At 39.8% G+C, this 20,870-nt stretch overlaps 1 long non-coding RNA gene across 1 annotated transcript in view; it reads left to right on the forward strand.

Moving 5' to 3' along the window:
• LOC124907765 (uncharacterized) overlaps nucleotides 1-12,265 on the forward strand; it is a 42,973-nt gene extending 30,708 nt beyond the window's left edge. Inside the window, exon 2 of the long non-coding RNA XR_007086314.1 lies at nucleotides 12,038-12,265. This is a non-coding gene — a long non-coding RNA (uncharacterized LOC124907765). The remainder of the gene's footprint in view (nucleotides 1-12,037) is intronic.
• Nucleotides 12,266-20,870: the final 8,605 nt, after the last annotated feature.

Here is a 20,870-nt window from a genome sequence, read left to right on the forward strand (position 1 = left end):
GAGGTTGCAGTGAGCTGAGATCAGGCACTGCACTCCAGCCTGGACGACAGAGCGAGACTCGATCTCAAAAAAAAATGTGCTTCTTAAGTGCCTCTCTAATCACCTGGGTTCCCACGCTGCCCAGAGCCCAACTGCGATAATGACTTTCCTTTACTGGAACTCCTTCTAGCAATCTTTGTTTCAGTGGGTCCCAACCATGGCTGTGCATTAGCGGTACCTGCAGAGCTTGGTGAAAATACAGACTCCTAGGTCCCACCCAGATTGAATCAGATCGGAAGTGGATAGGGCTTAAGAATCTGCACAGTTGCACAGTCAGGTTTGGGAACTGCTGGCTCATAGGACCAAGTTCAGACTCCAGAATAACATTCCAGGTTCCTCTCAATCCAGCACCTGCTTGAGTTTCTGGCTTCATTTTCAGCTGGTTTCCTCCTGGCAGGCACCCCACAGGCAGATCACACCAGACCACTCATTGGACCTCACATATGCCTGGCATCTTTATGTCTCTGTGCCTTTTTTTTGTTTTTGAGACAGAGTTTTGATCTGTCACCAGGCTGGAGAGCAGTGGCACGATCTCGGCTCACTGCAACCTCTGCCTCCCATGTTCAAGCTATTATCCTGCCTCATCCTCCCAAGTAGCTGGGACTACAGGCGCCCGCCACCACAACCAGCTAATTTTTGTATTTTTAGTACAGATGGGGTTTCACCGTGTTGGCCAGGATGGTCTCGATCTCTTGACCTCGTGATCCACCCACCTCAACCTCCGAAAGTGCTGGGATTACAGGCATGAGCCACCACGCCCGGCCTGTCTCTGTGCCTTTTCTTGGGCTGCTCCCTCTGAAAGAATGCTCTTCTTCTCCCTGCTCCTTCCAAGAGGCAAGATTCCACTAAGGACCTACTTGAAATGCCATCTCATTTCCGAAACCCTTTTGAATCTTCATTTCTACCCTTCGATATAACTCTTTCCCCATCTAGACTCTGCTGTATTTTATTCATAACATCAGCAGCACTTCTCATGCTGTGTCACATTGGTTCTATGAGGGTCCTCCTCCCTGCTCAGCTCAGAAACTAATAGTCAGAAACTATTAGGTTGGTGCAAAAGTAATTGCACAATTAGTATCTATTCACATTGGATCTGCAGCACCTTGTGCGTTGCCTAGAAAACTGTGAGAATGGATTAACTGTGAATTGAATAGAAATAAGTGCTACCTAGTTAAATTTAACTTTTCACAGCACCTAACACAATGCCTTGAGCACAAAATCTTTAAAATTATTTGTTGAGTGAGTAAATGAACAAAGGAGTGAGTATGGGCCAGAGTTTGTCATCACCACTTAGCCAATTCCCGGGAACTTGTATGTGTTTGGGGTTACCTGGTAGAACTCAAATGTCAGTGTGCATAAATAAGAATCACCTGAGACATTATTAAACATGCAGACTCCCGGCCACCCTCCCAGAGATGCTGATTCAGTAGTTCTGGGTGGGGTCTAGAAATTTGCATTTTTAACAAGCATCTTGGGTAATTCTGAGACAGGTGGTCCACAGACAGAGTCTGAAAAGTACTTCAGGAGGCATTTGGTGTTCAGCAGGTGGTGTTTACTCTGTGGATGGATTCTTAGACCAGCTGCCTAGGAGTTCAACCCTTAAAGTCAAAGATATTGTGTAGTCCTATCAGGAGGAGCTGGTAAAAGTAGCAGGTCTAATGTGGCATCTGATGGGCCTTCAGATTCTGGGAAGGCCATTCCTGGGAAAGCCACAGTGTCCTGCAACAGCAGGAAGAATGAAAGAATGACAAGCCAGGCAAGCTTCACCTTGGATACAGAGTCTCTTGCTTCTAGCTCATTTCTGCTGCTAGGCTGCCCTGGTCTGACAAATGGCCTTGTTTGAAGCCCCAATTCCTGATACTCACTGGGCCTGGGTGACTCCTTGGCTTACTCCTATTCTTTAGGCTCAGCTTCTGGTGGTTCCCATGGGGCCACTGTTTTCATCACCATCATTCTTTGTCCAGCCTCACCTCCATTGGGGTGAATTGGTGTTGGTCGGGTGGAAGGAGTCCAGGTGGATGAGCCTGCAACCCTACATCCTGGTAGGAACTCTGCCACTAACTGCTCACCAGACTTGCCAAAGGCCACTTACACAAAGTAAACAGGCATTTACTAAATACTTGCGTTATTTGTCTGGGTTCTGCAGAGAAACAAAGCCAACTAGAAATAGATTTACTATAAAGATTGGCTCACAAGATATGCAGGCTGAGAAGTCTATGATCTGCAGTTATTAAGCTGGAGACCCTGGGGATCTGATGGTGTGGTTCCAGTCTGATTCTGAAGGCCTAAGAACTGGGTGAGTTGATGGTGTAAATTCAAGCCTGAGTCTCAGTATGAAGGCAAGAGAAGACTTATGTCCCAGCTTGAAGACAGTCAGGCAGAAAAAGAGAATTCTTTCTTACTCAGCTTTATTTTTTTTTTTAATTCAGAACTTCAGTGGATTGGATGAAACGGATCCAACCTGCTTTACTGAGTCTACCAATTAATTCAAACATTAATGCCATTCAGAGACCCTCCCAGACACACCCAGAGTAATGTTTAACCAAAGAGCTAGGCTCCCTGTGGCCCAGTGAAGTTGACACATAAAATGGAACTATCACAATCTGCTATGTGCACAGCACTGTCAGCGGAACCTCTGGGGCCCCAGATTCCTCAAGTGTGGTGTCTCTTGCAGTTCTAATTGTGCCAATTGAAGGCAAAGCCAACCAAATAAAACCTATTTCCTTTGAGGAGCAGGAACAGAAACATTCTCTCAGAATAAAAACAGGAACTAGAAGGTCAATATTGAGAGTGGAGAGTCTGTTTCCCTCTGAAAGATCGCTTGAGGGAGTTAACGATGGGTCTTCATCTTCCCTTCTGTCCTTAGTGTTCTTCTAGGTTCTATATGGTGATGGAAGAAGCAGCTGACTGGACTAGAGAGAGGAACTTCTGGGTGTTGGAGCCCAGGAGCAGAGCTGCATTCTGGGAAAACTTCAGCCACAGAAGCGGCATCTGGAAACTGAGGAGTCAGCACCCTTAGGGAGTGGAAAAGGGGTTGGGGAGGCTGGGGACAGAATACTTGTACACCTCTGCAGTTCAGCTACATGCCTCTAGGCCATCTAACTGAGCATGCTAACTTAGCACCCTCTTCTCAAGTCTAGACAGAAAGAAGGGAAGTGGGTACAAACACAGATAAGCTTCCAGTAAGGACAAGAGCCCGTGAACAACACCATGGGTCACTCCAGCTTGGTACATCGTAACCAAATCTCACTAGTCTCAGAGCCTGCACTTTCCACGCCAGCAGGCACGTCCCTCGACCCAGGGTTTTGATCCTTGCCTGCACTTCTTACTGAGATGTCAGCGGCTGCAGGTGCCCACTGCCGGAGCTTCCGTCTGACCCATAAGTGTCCTAGCAGGCCTCTCCCTAAAATGCTTTTGGTATTTTCCTCAAGGGCTACCACATTTGGAAGAATTTAGTCCACTGATTACATTTATTTTGTAGGTATTAAGTTGGTGCAAAAGTAATTCAGGTTAAAAGTAATAGCAAAAATTAAAAGTAATAGCAAAAACCTCAATTACTTTTGCACCAACCTAATATTTATTTACTACTTATCTAGTCATGGTAAATAAGTCAGTCACGCTTTTCTCCATTTTTATTACTCAAAGATGATCCAGCTCAGAGGCAGTCTGTCTTTCCCTCTTGGCTATCCCTGTAGTGTTCTTTGTGCCAAAATGACTTCTCAACTGCTCTTACTTTTTCTTTTCATACTAAATGTCAGAAAAGCTTTAGAATTACACTGAGCTATTATTTGATGTCATATCCAAAATAGCTATTTCTCTATTCTCTAATAAATGGGAATGAATGGATGATTTTCAAAGAAATTCTTATCAAAATAGACTCAGAGATCTTCCAAAAAACCAAGCCATGGAAAAAGTGGATAATGCTACCACAAGCTCCCAAGGCCCAGGTCATTTAACAAGTTGCTCATTTTAAACCTTTAAGGGAGAGAAGATTTTGTTGCTATTTAACTCATCCAAAGCTTAAAGGAAAAATTCTCCTACCTATTTTAGGAAGCCAACGTATCATTGGTACCAAAACCTCATAGAGATAACACTTATGTACCACACACTATGCAAAAGCATTGTTCCCCCACCAGACACACACACACAAACACTGCACGAATACAAACATCCACACAATTCATGCACACATCACACATACCACACTCTACCCAAATAAAAATGTGCCTCACATACATATACACACAACACATATACCACACCACACAGATTCACCTTATATCCACACCACCCACACCCCAACACACATGCACTGCACAGATACAAACATACTGCACACACATAGCCCATGCCACACACCTATACCCATCATACACACACACACATACACACATATCTCAGGGTAATCTTCCTTTTAAATACAATGTAAAAGCTCTAATAAAGATATTAGGAAATAGCCAGGCATGGTGGCTCATGCCTATAATCCCAGCACTTTGGGAGGCTGAGGCAGGCAGATCACTTGAGGTCAGGAGTTTGAGACCAGCCTGGCCAACATGGTGAAACCTTGTCTCTACTAAAATTACAAAAATTAGCCAGGCATGGTGGCACACGCCTGTAGTCCCAGCTACACCAGAGGCTGAGGCACAAGAATCACTTGAACCCGGGAGGTGGAGGTTGCAGTGAGCCGAGATCATACCACTGCAGTCCAGCCTGGGTGACAGAGCGAGCTATCTCAAAAAACAAAAAAAAAAAAAAAAGGAAACTAGCAAATAGAATTCAGTAGTCCATTTTAAAATACCAAAGTGGGACTCATATCAGCTGGATTCAATTTTAGGAAATCTATTACTATAATTAACCCTGTTAATAGTCAAAGGAGAAAAGTCATGATTACTTTCAAAGGTATAGAAAATAAATGTAACAAATTTCAGTGTTCATTCACGTAAAAAAAGTAATAAGAGCTAACATTTATTTTTCCCTTATTATGTATTGGGCACTATCTGATATGCTTTGTGTGCGTTTTCTTATTTAGTCCTCAACCATCACATAATGAGGGAGGTACTACCTTTCCCATTCAGTCTGTAGATAAGGACACTAAAGCCTAGCAAGGTTAACAGTCTTGCCTCAGGTCACATATTAGGTAGTGGGTTGCATACAGCTAGTAAGTGGCATGTTCTTATGTTCTTAATGACTGTGTCAAAATAGGAATATAGGAATACTTCCATAATACAATAGACAGATGTATCCTAAATCATAAACCAACATCACAGTTGACAGACAAACAATAGAAAGGTTTCTGCTTAAATCAGGAATAAGACAAGCATGTTCACTATTACTGCTATTAACTAACATTTTTTCTGGAAAAACTTTATAATTAGATAAGATAACCAATAAAAGATATAAATATTGTAAGAGAGGGAACAAAATTATAGTTACTGCAGATGATGTGACAATATACTTGAAATCCCAAGAGAAACAACTGCAAAGCCATTAGAAACAATGTAATTCAGGGAAGTAACCAGTTACCTATTTAATATTTTAAAAACTCATAATTTTCCTGCATACTGAAGAACAATCAGGTAGAAAATTAAACTGGAAGAAAAGATCTTATTCCTAGTAGTAATTTAAAAACACTTCAGGCCGGGCATGGTGGCTCACTCCTGTAATCCTAGCACTTTGGGAGGCCAAGGAAGGTGGATCACCTAAGGTCAGGAGTTTGAGACCAGCTGGGCCAACATAGCAAAACCCCAACTCTACCAAAAATACAAAAATTAGCCGGGCATGGTGGCACACACCTGTAGCCCCAGCTACTTGGAAGGCTGATGCAAGAGAATCACTTGAATCCAAGAAGCAGAGGTTAGAGTGAGCTGAGATCACGCCACTGCACTCCAGCCTGAGTGACAGAGGGAGTGTGTGTGTTTCAAAACACACACAGACACACACACACACACACTTAAGAATAAGTTAACAAAACTATATAACCTGTGCTATATGAAGAAAAAAGGCATAATATTGAGAGACATAAAAGATTTGAATTCATAGAGAGGTCTATTTTTTGAGTAGAAAAAATATATGAAGTGCCAATTCTCTCCTCATTATAAATTTAATGCCATTCTATCAAAATATTTGCAGAAATTTTGTAAAGAACTTGCCAAAATTTAGACTTAATCTAGAGGAATAAACTCCTGAGAACAGTCAGGAAAACTATGGAAAGTAAGGGAGGGAAAAAAACCACATGGGATATTAGGCTGTATTACAAAGTTACAGTAACTCTAACACTGGTTCCAGCTCAGCAGGAGACTGGCAGGACAATGAAACAGAATAGGGTGGCCTAGAACTGGACCTTCAAGCTTCTGGCAATTTACACAGAAAGCAGGATATGATACAAGTGTTATTTCCAACCTACGGGGAAAATGCATCAATAAACAGCCTGTGACAACCATGTGATCACCATTTGGAAAAATAAGAATACTGGATTGTCACCTGACCCTTATACTAAAATACATATCAATGGGATAAAAAAATTAAATGTATAAATGAAGCCATAATTGTATTAGAAGAAAACATTGGCATCTATTTCTATAATTTGGGGGTGGATAAGGTCTTTCTAAGAATGAAAATTCCTGGTTTCTGAAAAGAGAAAGGTAACCATATAAAATAATAAGCTTCCAGCCTGGCCAACATGAAAACCTCGTCTCTACTAAAAACAGGAAAATTAGTTGGGTATGGTGCTGCACGCCTATAATCCCAGCTACTCAGGAGGCTGAGGCACGAAAATCACTTGAATCCAGAGGTGGAAGTTGCAGTGAGCTGAGATCTCATCACTGCACTCCATCCTGGGCAACAGAGTGAGACCCTGTCTCAATAATAATAATAATAAGCTTCTATGTAGCAAGAACAGAAATAAAGGACAAATTGAGAGGAAAGTACAATATATATAATAAGCAAAGAGTTTATAGATTCCTCTAGTAAAGAAAAAGCCCTTATAAATCAATAAGAAAAAGATGAATAGTACAACAGAAAAATTGGGCAAAGGACATTAGAGGCAAATCACAAAAGAAATTAGTGAAGCAAGTGAAAAATTCTTAATGTTTTTTCCTTTTTTTTAGTTCTTTATAGTAGTCAGTACAGCAAGTGAAAATTTGCTCTATTTCACTAATAAAAAATACAAAATAAAGTAACAATCAGTTATAAATTTTGCCTATCAGATTAGAAAATAATAGAAAATTTATAATATCCAGTGTCCATGAGAAACTGGTACTCTCATAAACTGTTGATGAGAATATACATTGGCATAATGTTTTTGAAGAAAATGGCAGCATCTATTAAATGTTTAAAGCCTTTATCCTTTGAAAGATGTTATGAGTTAAACTGTGTCCCTTCCTTCCCCTACTTCACCTGCTCCCCACACAGAAAAGATATGTTGAAGTTCTAACTCTCAGTTCTCAGAATGGGACTTTATTTGGAAATAAGGTTATTGTGGATGTAATTAGTTCAGCTGATAGTGGAGTGGGGTTGGTCCCTAATCCAGTGTGACTGGTGACCTTATAAGAAGATGGCCATGTGGAAACAGAGACACACAGGAAGAGACACCATGTGATGTAGAAGGCAGGGACTAGAGTTACACAGCTGCAAACTGAGATTGCCAGCAAACCACCAGAGGCTAGGAAGAAGCACATAAGAATTTCCCCACAGGTTTCAGAGGGAGTATGGCCCTGCTGACACCTCTATTTTGGACTTCTAGCCTCCAGAACTGTGAGAGAATGCATTTCCATAGTTTTGAACTCCCCTGGTTGTGGTATTTATATAACAGCTCTAAGTGCAAGTTCAAAGGTCAAATTCCATATCTATATTAGTCTATTTTCATACTGCTATGAAGAAATACCCAAGGCTGGGTAATTTATAAAAAAAGAGAGATTTAATGGAGTCACAGTTCCACATGGTTGGGGAGGCCTCACAGTCATGATGGAAGGTGAAGGAGGAGCAAAGGCATGTCTTACATGGTTGCAGGCAAGAGAGCAGGTGGAGGGGAGCTCCCCTTCATAAAATCATCAGATCTTGTGAGACTTCTTCATTATCATGAGAACAGCATGGGAAAACCTGCCTCCGTGATTCAATTACCTCCCACAGGGTCCCTCCCATGACACTATTATGGGAGCTACAATTCAAGATGAGATTTGAGTGGGGACACAGCAAAATCATATCAACATCTAAGAATTTATTCTACCCAAATACTCACTCAATTATACATATTCAAAGATGTTCACTTCACTATTGATTTTAATGTTGAAAAATTAAATACTATCTAAATATTCATCAGCAGAGAACTGTTTCAATACTTATGGGATATCCTTGTGATGGTTAATACTGAGTGTCAACTTGATAGGATTGAAGGATACAAAGTATTGATCCTGGGTATATCTGTCAGGGTGATCCCAAAAGAGATAAGCATTTGAGTCTGTGGGCTGGGGAAGGCAGATCCACTCTTAATCTGGCAGGCACAATCTAATCAGCTGTCAGCAAATATAAAGCAGGCAGTAAAACGTGAAAAAGAGACTGGCCTAGCCTCCCAGCCTACATCTTTTTCCTGTACTGGATGCTTCCTGCCCTCAAACATCAGATTCCAAGTTCTTCAGTTTTGGGACTCAAACTGGTTTGCCTTGCTCCTCAGCTTGCAGACAGCCTATTGTGGGACCTTGTGATCTTATAAGTTAGTAAACTCCTTTTGATATATCTATATCTATATCATCTGTATCTATATCTATATCTATATCTATATCTATATCTATATCTATATCTATATCTATATCTATATCTCCTATTAGTTCTGTCCCTCTAGAGAAATGTGACTAATACAATCCTTAATAGAATACTAAGGTGTGGTTAAAAAAGCAATGAAATAACTAAAAATGGACTAATTCATGAGACATTCAAGATAAATTAGTAAGTTCAAAGATCAAGTTGTAAGGTACAGATAGATCTTAAATTTATGTTTTTAAAAATTCATAATAACATGCTAGTATGTGAACATAAAAAGCATTGATGTACTTTTCATAAGTAGTTATTTGGGGTTGGGGGATGGCGAGAAAATGAAGAACTTTTCTGTATTATATACATATATATTTATAAGATTTGACTATATTTTTAAAATTGGCATGCATTAGTTTTGTCATCAGAAAAGTAAAATCTTTCTTGTTTAATTTTGACATGGGGTCTTTCTGTGTCACCCAGATTAGAGTGTAGTGGTGAAATCATAGCTTACTGCAGCCTTGCACTCCTGGGCACAAGTGATCTTCCTACCTCAGCCTCTTGAGTAGCTGGGACTACAGGCGTGTGCTGCCAAGCCCAGCTAATTTTCTTATTTTTTGTAGGGATAGGGTCTTGCTTATTGCTAAGTCTGGTCTCAAATTCCTGGTCTCAGATGATCCCCCCTACCTTGGCCTCTCAAAGTGCTGGGATTATAGGCATGAGCCACCGCACCTAGCCTAAAATCATTTTTATTATACATTCTATGAAGGGAGATTAACATCTCATCTTGCCTTCTTAGCCCATTTTGTATTACCATAAAGAATACCACAGACTGGATAAACAATAGAAATTTATTTGGCTCACAGGTCTTGAGGCTGGGAAATCCAAGACTGAAGGATTATCTCTGGTAAGGACCTTCTTGCTGTGCCATCACATGGCAAGAGGCACCATGAGGCAAAGGGCATGCATGAGAGGCAAGAGATTGCAGACTCAAGCCCTTTTATAATTGGCATTAATGAATTTATGAGAGTGGAGTCCTTGTGACATAGACACTTCCCATAAGGCCCCACCTCCCAATACTGTTGTATTGGGGATTAAATTTCTAACACAAGCATTTTGGGGGACACATTCAAACCATAGCACCCTCCTTCTGAGTTTTTGAGTCAGTTTCCTTAGAACAGCCACAATAATTTCTTAACTTTCCAGAATTCATCCTTCTGACAATCTCTCTATCCAGAAAGTTGGCAAGAACAAGGAAATTCAGCAGGACACATAAAAGTCCTATTTGCTCCCTCAGAGATACTCCCTTAGAAACTATTTACCTCTACTTTACACTCAATGTGGAGACCTGTTATTCTCATTTTTATGAATATTTTAATATTCATACTTATATTCATAGTTCTTATGAATATAGCAGTTTAAAAGAGGGAAATGGAATTGCTAGTGGTAGGTACACTGACAACAGAAAATAATGTTTTCAGAAAAATTATAGATATAAAAAAACTAACATTGCAAACCAGCCTGGGCAACAGAGCAAGAGACCCTGTCTCTACAAAAAAAATTTGTTTTAATTAGCTGGGCAAGATGGTGCATGCCTGTAGTCCTTGTTACTTGTGGGGTGGAGGCAGGAGGATTGCTTGAGCCCAGAACTCGGAGGCTGCAGGGAGCTGTGATTGTGCCACTGCACTCTAGCCTGGAGACCTTGTCTTTAAAAAACAAACAAAACAAACAAACAAAAAACCATTACAAGGACTTACATGTATGTAAGTCTGGATCATTTAATAGAATAAACATCTTACATGTCTCAACAACCTCTGAGGTGATTTTTCTATGTAATAAACTATCATTTTTTATAACTTGGTGAAGACAATTTTAAATTGTGTCTATTGTTTAAGAGCTCAGGGAAGAGTATGATATGTTTAATTTAGATTTCCATTTGAAATGGTTAAAATTAAAAGTCTGGAGCTTAAAGGAAAAGCGCTCAGTTATCTGAGAAATTTTACTGCCCGGAAAGACTCATTATCCAAAAATTCCGGATAACCAGGATTTTTCTTCTCTCTTCTTTTCTTCCTAGAGCATTTAATCAAGGCCACCCATAGTCTAGAGATTTTAGAAATTCCCAGTTGAGTAATTTACTCACTAGCAAAGTGAACCGGGAGGAGAATGAGTCTGGGAGCATGGGGTGCTAGGTGCGGCTCCATTTGCAGCCCCTCTTCTGAGATAGGATAAACAGTGAGGGGGCAGCAGGGGTGGGGGCTTCACACTGGCATTTCTCTACCCTCTTTCAAACTTCCTTCCCTTAGCTAAGCTCAAAAATGGTTGATTAGGCTGTAAAATAAATAATGCTTATTAAGCCTAATTACATGTAGCAAAAAAAAAAAAAAACAATTATGCAAGTCATTAAAAGAGTCAGATCAACTTTGCTGTAAGTATTTCTTTAGAAATGGCTCTGCAGTTTAAGTTTTCTCAGCTTTCAGAACTCATTGTTTGCTAGCAAGCTAGGCTGCTTTAACCACCTCCCATTAGGGAGGAGAGGAAGGGAGAGAAGGGAAGAGAAAAAGAGATACATAACACTTACACACATACTTAAACACACACACACACACACACACACACACATACACACACACACACAGAGACAGACAGAGAGACAGAGAGAATTGTCCATGAGAACATTTTAAAAATCAGGATAGATCTACACAAAGTAGGGCTATGGCAGCATGGTTGCAATCACTCTACTTAGGAGAAAATGTATGTGCTACATTCACCAATTTCCCCTTGTTCTATAACTAGAGCTAAGATTTAAGTTAAGCTGAGATTTAATGTGCAATTCACTTTTTGTTTTCTTTCTCTCTCCTCTTTTAAAAAAGCTGGTAACCAACATTAAAGACATTGTGGTTGGTATCTTTATAACTAAAATATAGCTTCATTTCTGCTCATGGAAATATGTAGTCAATTAGCCATAATGTGGTCCAGACTCCCTTTGATATTCTAAAATAAAAACATTCCAAGTTATTTACTTGAGAACAGTTGTTTCTAAGCACGGCCAGTAGCTGCTGTTTTTAATAATACTGCTTTTAATGGGTGTGGGGCATTCTGACTGAAAGGAGGTAGGGAATGTGTAGCTCAAAGTTCTGAACTATAATCACTGGATTTTTGGAATAATAACCATGAGGGGTTATATTTAGATTCAACTATTATTGAAGTTCATTCACAGACATTTAACAATTCTTGTACTCCTTTCTCTTTTCAGGCAAGTTGAACGGGGAGTGAGGAGTAACCAGGGAAAAGAAGCAGATGAGGACACCATTTACAAGGATGCCTTGCCCTGGGAATCCTCCCCACAGGAGTAAGAAGGGAGCTACACTTTACATAGCATGTCTGAAGAGTAGTTCCCAAATACTTGTTCTTGGACATGGCAGAGCTGGATGCCCAAGAATCTCCTGGGAAACATTAATTACAAAAACCAAGCAAAACAGAACCCCTGGCTCCACGTTGATTTGGAGGGGGTAAGATGGGATGCACCAAGGGTGGGGGTGGTAACCACCGATATGGAAAGCATTGTTTTGCATTGGTAGTTAGATCATTTGGGCTTTCTGGCAATTCCCTGCTGTGTGACCTCAAGCAAATCAATCAATTCCTCTGAGCTTCATGTTGATTATTTAGAAAGTGATGATGCTATCAATAAGTCCCACATTAAAGAGTTATCCTGAGAATCAAATGAGATTAGGTATGCAAAAGCACTTATCAATCTGTCAGTTGCTCTCCAATTTTGGCTAAGCTTAGATATTTAAATCCTAGTAATATTTGTGCTAAGTGGTGTGGGAGATTAAAAAAAGAATCGGAATCTAGTTTGGGAGAAGTTTTCAACCTAGCTGGAGAGAAAAGGTATAAATGAAATGGTATGCATACTAAGCCACTAAAAAGCATTTTCAGTGTGCACCATGGGCTCTGCACTAGGGTAGATTATGTGGGTGATTGAGAAGTATAGTATACAACATGGATACTCTTCTGAAAGGGCTCCCAGTTTTGGTGGAGAAAAGAGACTCCTCTATAACAGCAAATAACAAAAAGATAATATATATAATCAAAGTAACTGCTAAATGTTATGGTACAGTCTCTAAAAGGTTACTAAGGGAAGTTCTGAAGAAAGAACAATAGGAATTGCTGTAGTCCAGGAAAGGAGAGAACTTTAGCTGGGTCTAGAAGTTAAAACAGCAGAAGGAACAGAAAGAGGCTCATTTGTCAGGGGAACAGCAAAAGCCAAGCATAGAGGCAGGAATGATCAGGGTGTATGCAGTACCACAAAGGAGATCAAACTGGCTAGAATGGTGGGACAGATTACAGAGGGCCTTAAAAGCTCAGCTGAGAAGTTTGTACTTGATACATCAATGCATATTTTGTATGTTTGTTGCTAGAATTCCAGACAGTAGACTGTTTATACACTTACCCTTGAAACTCTAGAATTGTGTTGCCCAATATGACAGCAACTAGTCACTGTGGCTATGAAGCACTTGAAATGTGGCTAGTCTGAACTGAGATGTGCTGTAAGTATAAAACACATACTAGATTTCAAAGATTTAGTGCAAAAAAAATAAAATATTTACATTATTTGTTGAAATGATACTATTTTGATATATTGAGCTAAATTTTAGATATTATTAAAATTAATTTATCTGTTTCTTTTCCTTTTTAAAATAAGGCTACTAAAAACTTAAAGTTACATAAGGGGCTTGCATTACATTTCTTTCAACAGTACTGTTCTAGAATGTCAAGATGGGTATTAAAGAATTTTATTTGCACAAGGAGCCTGGGAGAAAGAAACAGATAGACATTTAGGTAGATAGCTATGAAGATGCCTAGGAGGCCAGAATTAACAGTATTGTATATTGTATCCCCCTCACCACACACAGACACACACCTGGGATATACATTGAAGTCAAGGCAGTGGAACCTGGTCCTGGGCCAATGAGTAAAGAATGATATAAAGCATTATTTTTGTGTGCAATACTGAGGGATATCCTTCCACGAGAAGAGCCACTAAGAAACTGAGAGAGCAAGTAATGTACAAGAACTGTAATAGGATTCATGTTTAAGCATCAGAGCAATAAAAGTCATAAATCTGAATGAGAGAAAGAGACCTGTCCCACTTCAGAAGAATATCACTAGTGGCTTCATGGGCCGCATGCTTTACCACTGGGTAGGGCCAGAGGAGCAGAATAGCCATGGCCAGAAGAAAAAGGGGGTAGAAATGGCTCCAGCTACTAGGCAGCTGAGTGGAGACCAGCAGTTCTGACAAAAGAAGAGCAACCTTCTCCAAGGAGAACAACGTGCCCACAAGAGACTTAGCCAGGAGGTTTCCTGGCTAAGAGGAAAAAGTGTTTGGGCTTAGAGTCAAAAGTGATTTCTATTGTTACCCACACATTTTGAGAGAAGTATATATTTCCTTATATCAGAGGGAAAGTTTTGTTTTCTGTAATATGACTAGGCTCTAAAGAGAATATATTACATTAATGTAGAGGTTTTTTTCCCCCTGAGCACTGTGATGAACATGTTTAAGTAAATTTGGGTAGAATCTACACCCTACTCCCTTCCCAGCTTCCTTTCAACCACCCCACATCCTCATCCAGGCTCTGGATGTTAGTTGGCACTAAGGTTTCAGAGAGAGAGAAAAATTATTATGTTTAATCAAGTGAGAAAAATTTGGAGGGGACCGTGTGTAGAGAGGAAGGACAGCAGAGGGAAGGAAGGGCTGGGAAGACGGGAGAAGGCTTCTTATTCTGTGATGTGATCCTTTTCTTGTAACTTCACCAAAGCTAAAGTTAATTCTACTAAACTCACCCAAATTTGGCATGAGTGGATTGCTTGGTAAAACCAGCGAAGAGACTGAGTGTTGCCTCTGGGGTAATCTGGGGAGAAATATACAGCATATCCAAAGACCAAGCCTGACCTCAAAATATAAATCACTTGTGTTCCATCTCATATTAGGGAGACAGAGAAATATTTTTAAAAGAAGGAATTAAAAATATAGAATTGGAGTTTAGAGATATAAAAATTGTAGTCAGAAATAGCATGTGGGGGAACTGGCCCTATTGACCCTGCCCCGTGTTCTGGTCAACAGGGTTTAAAGGGAGTCTCTGACTCTACAGGCTGTGCTGTTTTAAAGAACTGCTTGTCTCTCCAGGAAGGAGTGCTGAGCTTTTCCAAAGCTCTTTATCTCATCCTCTTAGAAAATTGTCTTTCAGTTTTAGTAGAGCCTTAGTTGCCTCCAAGGCCAAAATGTTGAAAGACTGAGAAGTAAAAGATGCTGGGTCTCCAGACTTAAGCATTAGAGCTGCTTCAGATCCAAAAGTTGGGGGAAGAGGAGGAGGCTGGAATGGTCATGGGAGGGAGCCAGGGAAACAGGGAGGGGTGGGATCATGACACTTGCTTTCCTGTTCTCCTACTCATCTGTTAGTATTAGAATGAGTAGGCTTCTGGAATTCAGCTGAGCATTGAGGTTTTTTTTCCTGTTTCTTTTTGGGCTCCATGTGTTAAATGAGGCTTCCCACATAGAGCTCCTCAGACTTTGAGCCTGCTCCCCAGCTGGCAGTGTGTGTTTCTGCCTGGCATTGGGGAAGGAGTGAGCAGGAAGAGGCACCTCAGTAAAGGGGAGAGATTCTCAAGAGAGGATCTGATGTGTCTTCAATGAAGCTTTCTCTGTCTGAGTTGACCAGCAAAGCTGTATTTACTCCAGCAAGAATCACCTTAGCAACCAGCATAGCCAACGGAATCTATGGATATGTATATAAATATGAATTCTGTATGTACATGTGTGCATATACAGATAATGCTGTGTGTACCTTTTTTCATGTGCTTGGCCATATTCATTTTCACACTAAAGAAGAACCCATCAGTCCGACATAATGAGATTTTCTCAGGCGATTTGCTTATATTGTAACCATGCTGTCAATCCTTTGATGGTACTTTGGGTAACATTGAAAATATGCTGAATACTGTATTTCACAATATGGTACTGTAGTCAATGTAGGGGAGTGGAGGGAGGGAGGTCTCTGCTGGCCAGCTATATTTTCCATTTTCACAGAGCATCAGATCTTCTGGGCTCATCATGGACCTGGGGCCTGGTCCTCAGCTCATTAGGTCAGCCAGATACAGTTCTCTTATGAGTGATCAAGTTCTAGGATTCCCAACCATCAGACTTATTAGCTATTTTTAAATAACAATTGCTAAGAGTACAACATAAATTCTTTCCAGAAGGAAGAAAAGCGAGAAGTAACATAATTCCAGGAAATTACTTGATAAGCACAGAAAGTCAGGATAAAAGGAGGTGAGTTATCCTAAGAAATACTGGTGCTTGGCTGTAACAACCATCTTTTTGCTAAAAGATGCCAGCCAAATGACCAGAAACATCTATATTGGGGTATGTTTTTGTCCCTGGTTAGTACAGGGACATACCAAGGCAAATGCTCACTTCAGAGCTTTTCTTTCTTAGATTATAAGCCCTTTCTACCCCAATCTTAGACAAAGTTAATCTGCTTCTGAGAGAAGAGTAGAAACAAAAAACATCTGTCCCTGGAGAAGGGCAGGAAACCTGGTCAGGCCCAGTATCCTGTAGTGACACAAACAACATATCTGCTCTCACTGGAAGTGAGGCAGGAAACCCTCTCTTGCCCAAGAATCCATACAGGTACAAGGCAGAAAATGGCTTCCATGGATGTGGGAGGGGCAGCAATGCCAAGCAAGTTTCACCCTCAAGGCCCAGGCACACAGAACCTAAGACTGAGGCTGAACTATGATAATAAAAAAGCCTTCCTTGCCCCAACCAAGAGCCTTGCACTGAGTAACAAGCCACTGCAGCCTTATCACTGAGGCAGAGGCAAGAGCATGGAGAGATGCCCCCATCCCCACCTGTAGCACAAGAATACAAAGTCCAAAGAGAGATGAGAGTGGAACAGGAACACTGAGAACACTCCTCCAGTGCTCCAGGCCCCACACTAGGAACAAGATAATAGCAGCTGATTATTTAAATTCTTTGGTGCACTAAAGATCATTGTAGCAAAAACAAAACCCAAACCCAGCTCAACTACTGAAAAATTTGACAGAACTTCCCACATGAATAGTTGAACTGAGGAAAGACTTCATTTCCAAGAGTAACTACTATTTACATCAGTCTCTACTATTCCTTTATCACAGGGTCCAACATTCAGTAAAAAATTATGAAACACGCACACATACAAACACCAGAAAAAAGACAACCCATTGTCCAAAGACAAAGCAATCAACAGAACCAGATCCAGAGGTGACCCAAATATTGGAATAATCAGGCAGTTCACTTTGAAATAATTATGAGTGTGGTATTATGGGATCTAGTGGAATGGATAGACAAGAGGCATAAACACTAGCTGGGCATAGCGGCATGCACCTGTAGTCCCCGCTACTCGGGAGGCTGAGGCAGGAGGATCGCTTGAACCTGGAAGGCAGAGGCTGCAGTGAGCAGAGATGGTGCCATTGCATTCCAGCCTGGATGACAGAATGAGAACCTGTCTCAAAAATAAATAAATACATAAATAAAAATAAGCAAATAAAGAAATAAAAGACAAGAGGCATAAACATATACACAGACTTATCAGCAAATTGGATACAGTAGAAAGAGTCAACAAACCTAAAGATAGGTGGATAAAAATGATGTAAAGTGAAATACAAATGAAAAAAAAGAATGAGGGAGATAAACAGAATATAGCAACCAAGAGCTGTAGGACAACATCAAAGAGTCTAATATACATATAGTTATAGAAGAAGTAAAGAAGAGAAATTTGAAGAGATAATAGCTGAGAATTTCCAAATTTGATGGGAAAAAAAACAAACAACAAATCACAAATCCAAACTCAGAGAAATAACCTGATTACAGATTGTAGGAGGTTATAAACCTTGACAGTAACCGAAAGGAAAAAAAGAAACCTTACAAACAGAGGAACAGGATGATAATGGCAATAAACTTCTCATGAGAAACAATGCAAGAAAAAAGAAAGTAGAGCAATATCCTTAAAATATTGAAAGACAAAAAATTATCAACTCAGAATATAATACCTGGTTAAAATGATCTCGAAAATTAAATCAAATCTATTTTAGACAAACAACGTCTGAGAGAACTCATTTAGCAAACCTGAAATACAAGACATTAAAGGAAGTTCTTTAGGCAGGGGTATGATACTGGAGGGAAATTTGGATCTACGCAAAATAATGAAGAGTTCCAGAATGGTAAGTGACGGTGAACAGATTACAAGTCTACCTCTGAGTTTTTGTTTTGTCATTACTATTTTGAACTTATTAAAATTAATCACAATATGGGTTATGTTATATGACTTATATTTTAACTTCTTAGCTATCTGAAAGAAACCATAGATCTTTGATAATATTTAGGAAGCATTCAAGTTTTATCAGTAACACATGTATAAGAATCTCTCAAGATAGTTTACTTAATCAAAAGTGACTAATCACATTCCTTCAAATTAATTTTATTATCTAAAATTTCATAAGGTGAACTTACCTCAGATTGTAGCAACACATGTACCTGTACACATACACAAAGATAGAAACATCTATATATGCATCATGTAAGTCCAAAGACATATAAATGGATATAAAAGATACACATATGTATTGATTCATGACTCATTTATTACTTTTTTTTTTAACTTTTATTTTAACCTCAGGGGTACATGTGCAGGTACATAGGTAAACTTGTGTCATGGGGTTTTGTTGTACAGATTATTTCATCACCCAGGTCTTAACCCTTATACCCATTAGTTATTTTTCCTGATCCTCTACCTCTTCCACCCTTCACCCTCTGATAGGCCCTAGAGTGTGTTGTTCCCCTCTGTGTGCCCATGTGTTCTCATCATTTAACTCCCACTTCTCAGTGAGAACATGCAGTATTTAGTTTTCTGTTCCTACATTAGTTTACTAAGGATAATGGCCTCCAGCTCCATCCATGTCCCTGCAAAGGACATTACCCCATTCTTTTTTATGGCTGCATGGTATTCCATGGTATATATGTACCACATTTTCTTTTTCTTTTTTTTTTCTCTTTCTTTTTATTATACTTTAAGTTTTAGGGTACATGTGCATAACGTGCAGGTTAGTTACATATGTATACATGTGCCATGTGACTCATTTATTACTTAAAGTAAGCAATTTACCTTTTACTAGGTACTATGCTAGGGTCTGGAGATAATAACCTAAATTAGTCATGATTAGTACCTGGCTTAAGGAAGCTCATGGTCTAGTGGGAGCCAAATGCAAAATAAATAAACAATATGGAACTGAATGATGTGTGCCACATTAGCCATATACATAAGACACCAAAGCTGCACAGAGAAGGGTAGAATTAATTCTCTCTAGAGGAGTCAGAGAGGACAAGTAATGGTAGAAGATCCTGCCATCACAGGAATAGACGTCTTTTCCATCACAGCAAAAAAAGTCACGTAGTGATGTGCAAAAAGATGGATTGAAGGCAAGCTACTCTCCAGGAAGTTTGTATAATGGTTCAAGTGAGAGATCTAAAGTAGTATTGGTGAGTATGTATCCTGGATAAATTTAGAATATAACAGTCAGACTTGCTGAACAATTGGATGTGGAAGGATGAGAGAGAAGAGGAATTTAGAGTGAATACTGATTTCTGGCAGGTGAGAAAATGAGTAATTATGTTACTAGCTAAGATGGAAATATATAAAGACACAAGAACAAAAGGAAGAGACATTAGCACTCAAGAGATGCAAACAAAATTTTGCAAGCTGGAAAGCAAATGGAGGCGAGAAAACTGATTGCAGAGTGTAGGAGGTTATAAATCACTGAGTGGAACACTGATGAGTGGATAATCACTTGCAAATCCACAAGAACCATGGCGGTGCGAGACATGACAATGAAAAATAGAGGGACAATTATAAGAGTTGTTGGATCCTCATTCTACTCCCTTTTTCCACTTTCAAAACTCTGAACAAATGGCATAATGCCATCTCAATGGGTGATTAGAGGATTCTTTCCCAAAGAAACTGGCTGTAGGGACAAGTGCTCAACCTATTGATATTTGGAAATTCCTCAGTGAAATAGCTGGGTCCCCACCTGATCCATGTACAGCAAAGCCTACGAGTCATAAGTTTGCTGCACACAAAACACCTTCTAGTTTCACTATCTTTTTTTTTTGAGACAGAGTCTTGCTTTGTTGCCCAGGCTGGAGGGCAGTGGTGCAATCTTGGCTCACTGCAACCTCTGCCTCCTGGGTTCAAGTGATTCCCTTCCTAAGCCTCTCGAGTAGCTGGGACTATAGGCACGTGCCACCATGCTCAGCTAATTTTTTTTTTTTTTTTTTTGTATTTTTAATAGAGACAAGATTTCACCATGTTGGCCAGGATGGTCTCTATCTCTTGACCTCATGATCCACCCACCTCAGCCTCCCAAAGTGCTAGGATTACAGGCATGAGCCACTGTGCCTGGCCTTTTTGTTCTTAAATATGAACAAATAGCAAAGGGTGATCAGATATTTGAAAACAAGTCTCTAAAATGAAAAAAGTGAAAAGCAAAATAAAAGATCTTGAAATTAACTAAAAATACTTAAAAAACAGAAGATGCAATAACTTTTAACTATTAAAATTAATACAAATTCTAGCAAGACAATTGGATATAAAAGCAATATACAAAATGAACTATTATCTGCTTCTAGAAGGTAACATAGATGTAGTTTTCCCTATTCTCATGACCATAACTAAAAATCCTGGACATTGTATATGCATAACAATCATAAGAAGGCTCTGAAGAGTGAAGGCAAGAAGACAGACTGGTTAGGAACTTCAGGACCGAGAGAGAAAACCATAGTTAGCAAGTTCCCCAGATTTGGTTTGTTTGTTTTGTTTTGGTTTTTGTTTTGTTTTGCCTCATAAGTCCCAGACTGGGTGCTAGAGAGCCTGGCATCCCAGAAATGTAAATGGGCACAGACAAAAAAAAAAAAATTGCTAAAAAAAAGCCTGCTCTCTCTAGCCAAAGGACCAGGAAATTATAAACTTAACAGGAGAGAAAATTTAGGAAACTTA

This window comes from Homo sapiens, chromosome 2 (assembly GCF_000001405.40).
Source record: "Homo sapiens chromosome 2, GRCh38.p14 Primary Assembly".
Lineage (NCBI taxonomy): Eukaryota > Metazoa > Chordata > Mammalia > Primates > Hominidae > Homo > Homo sapiens.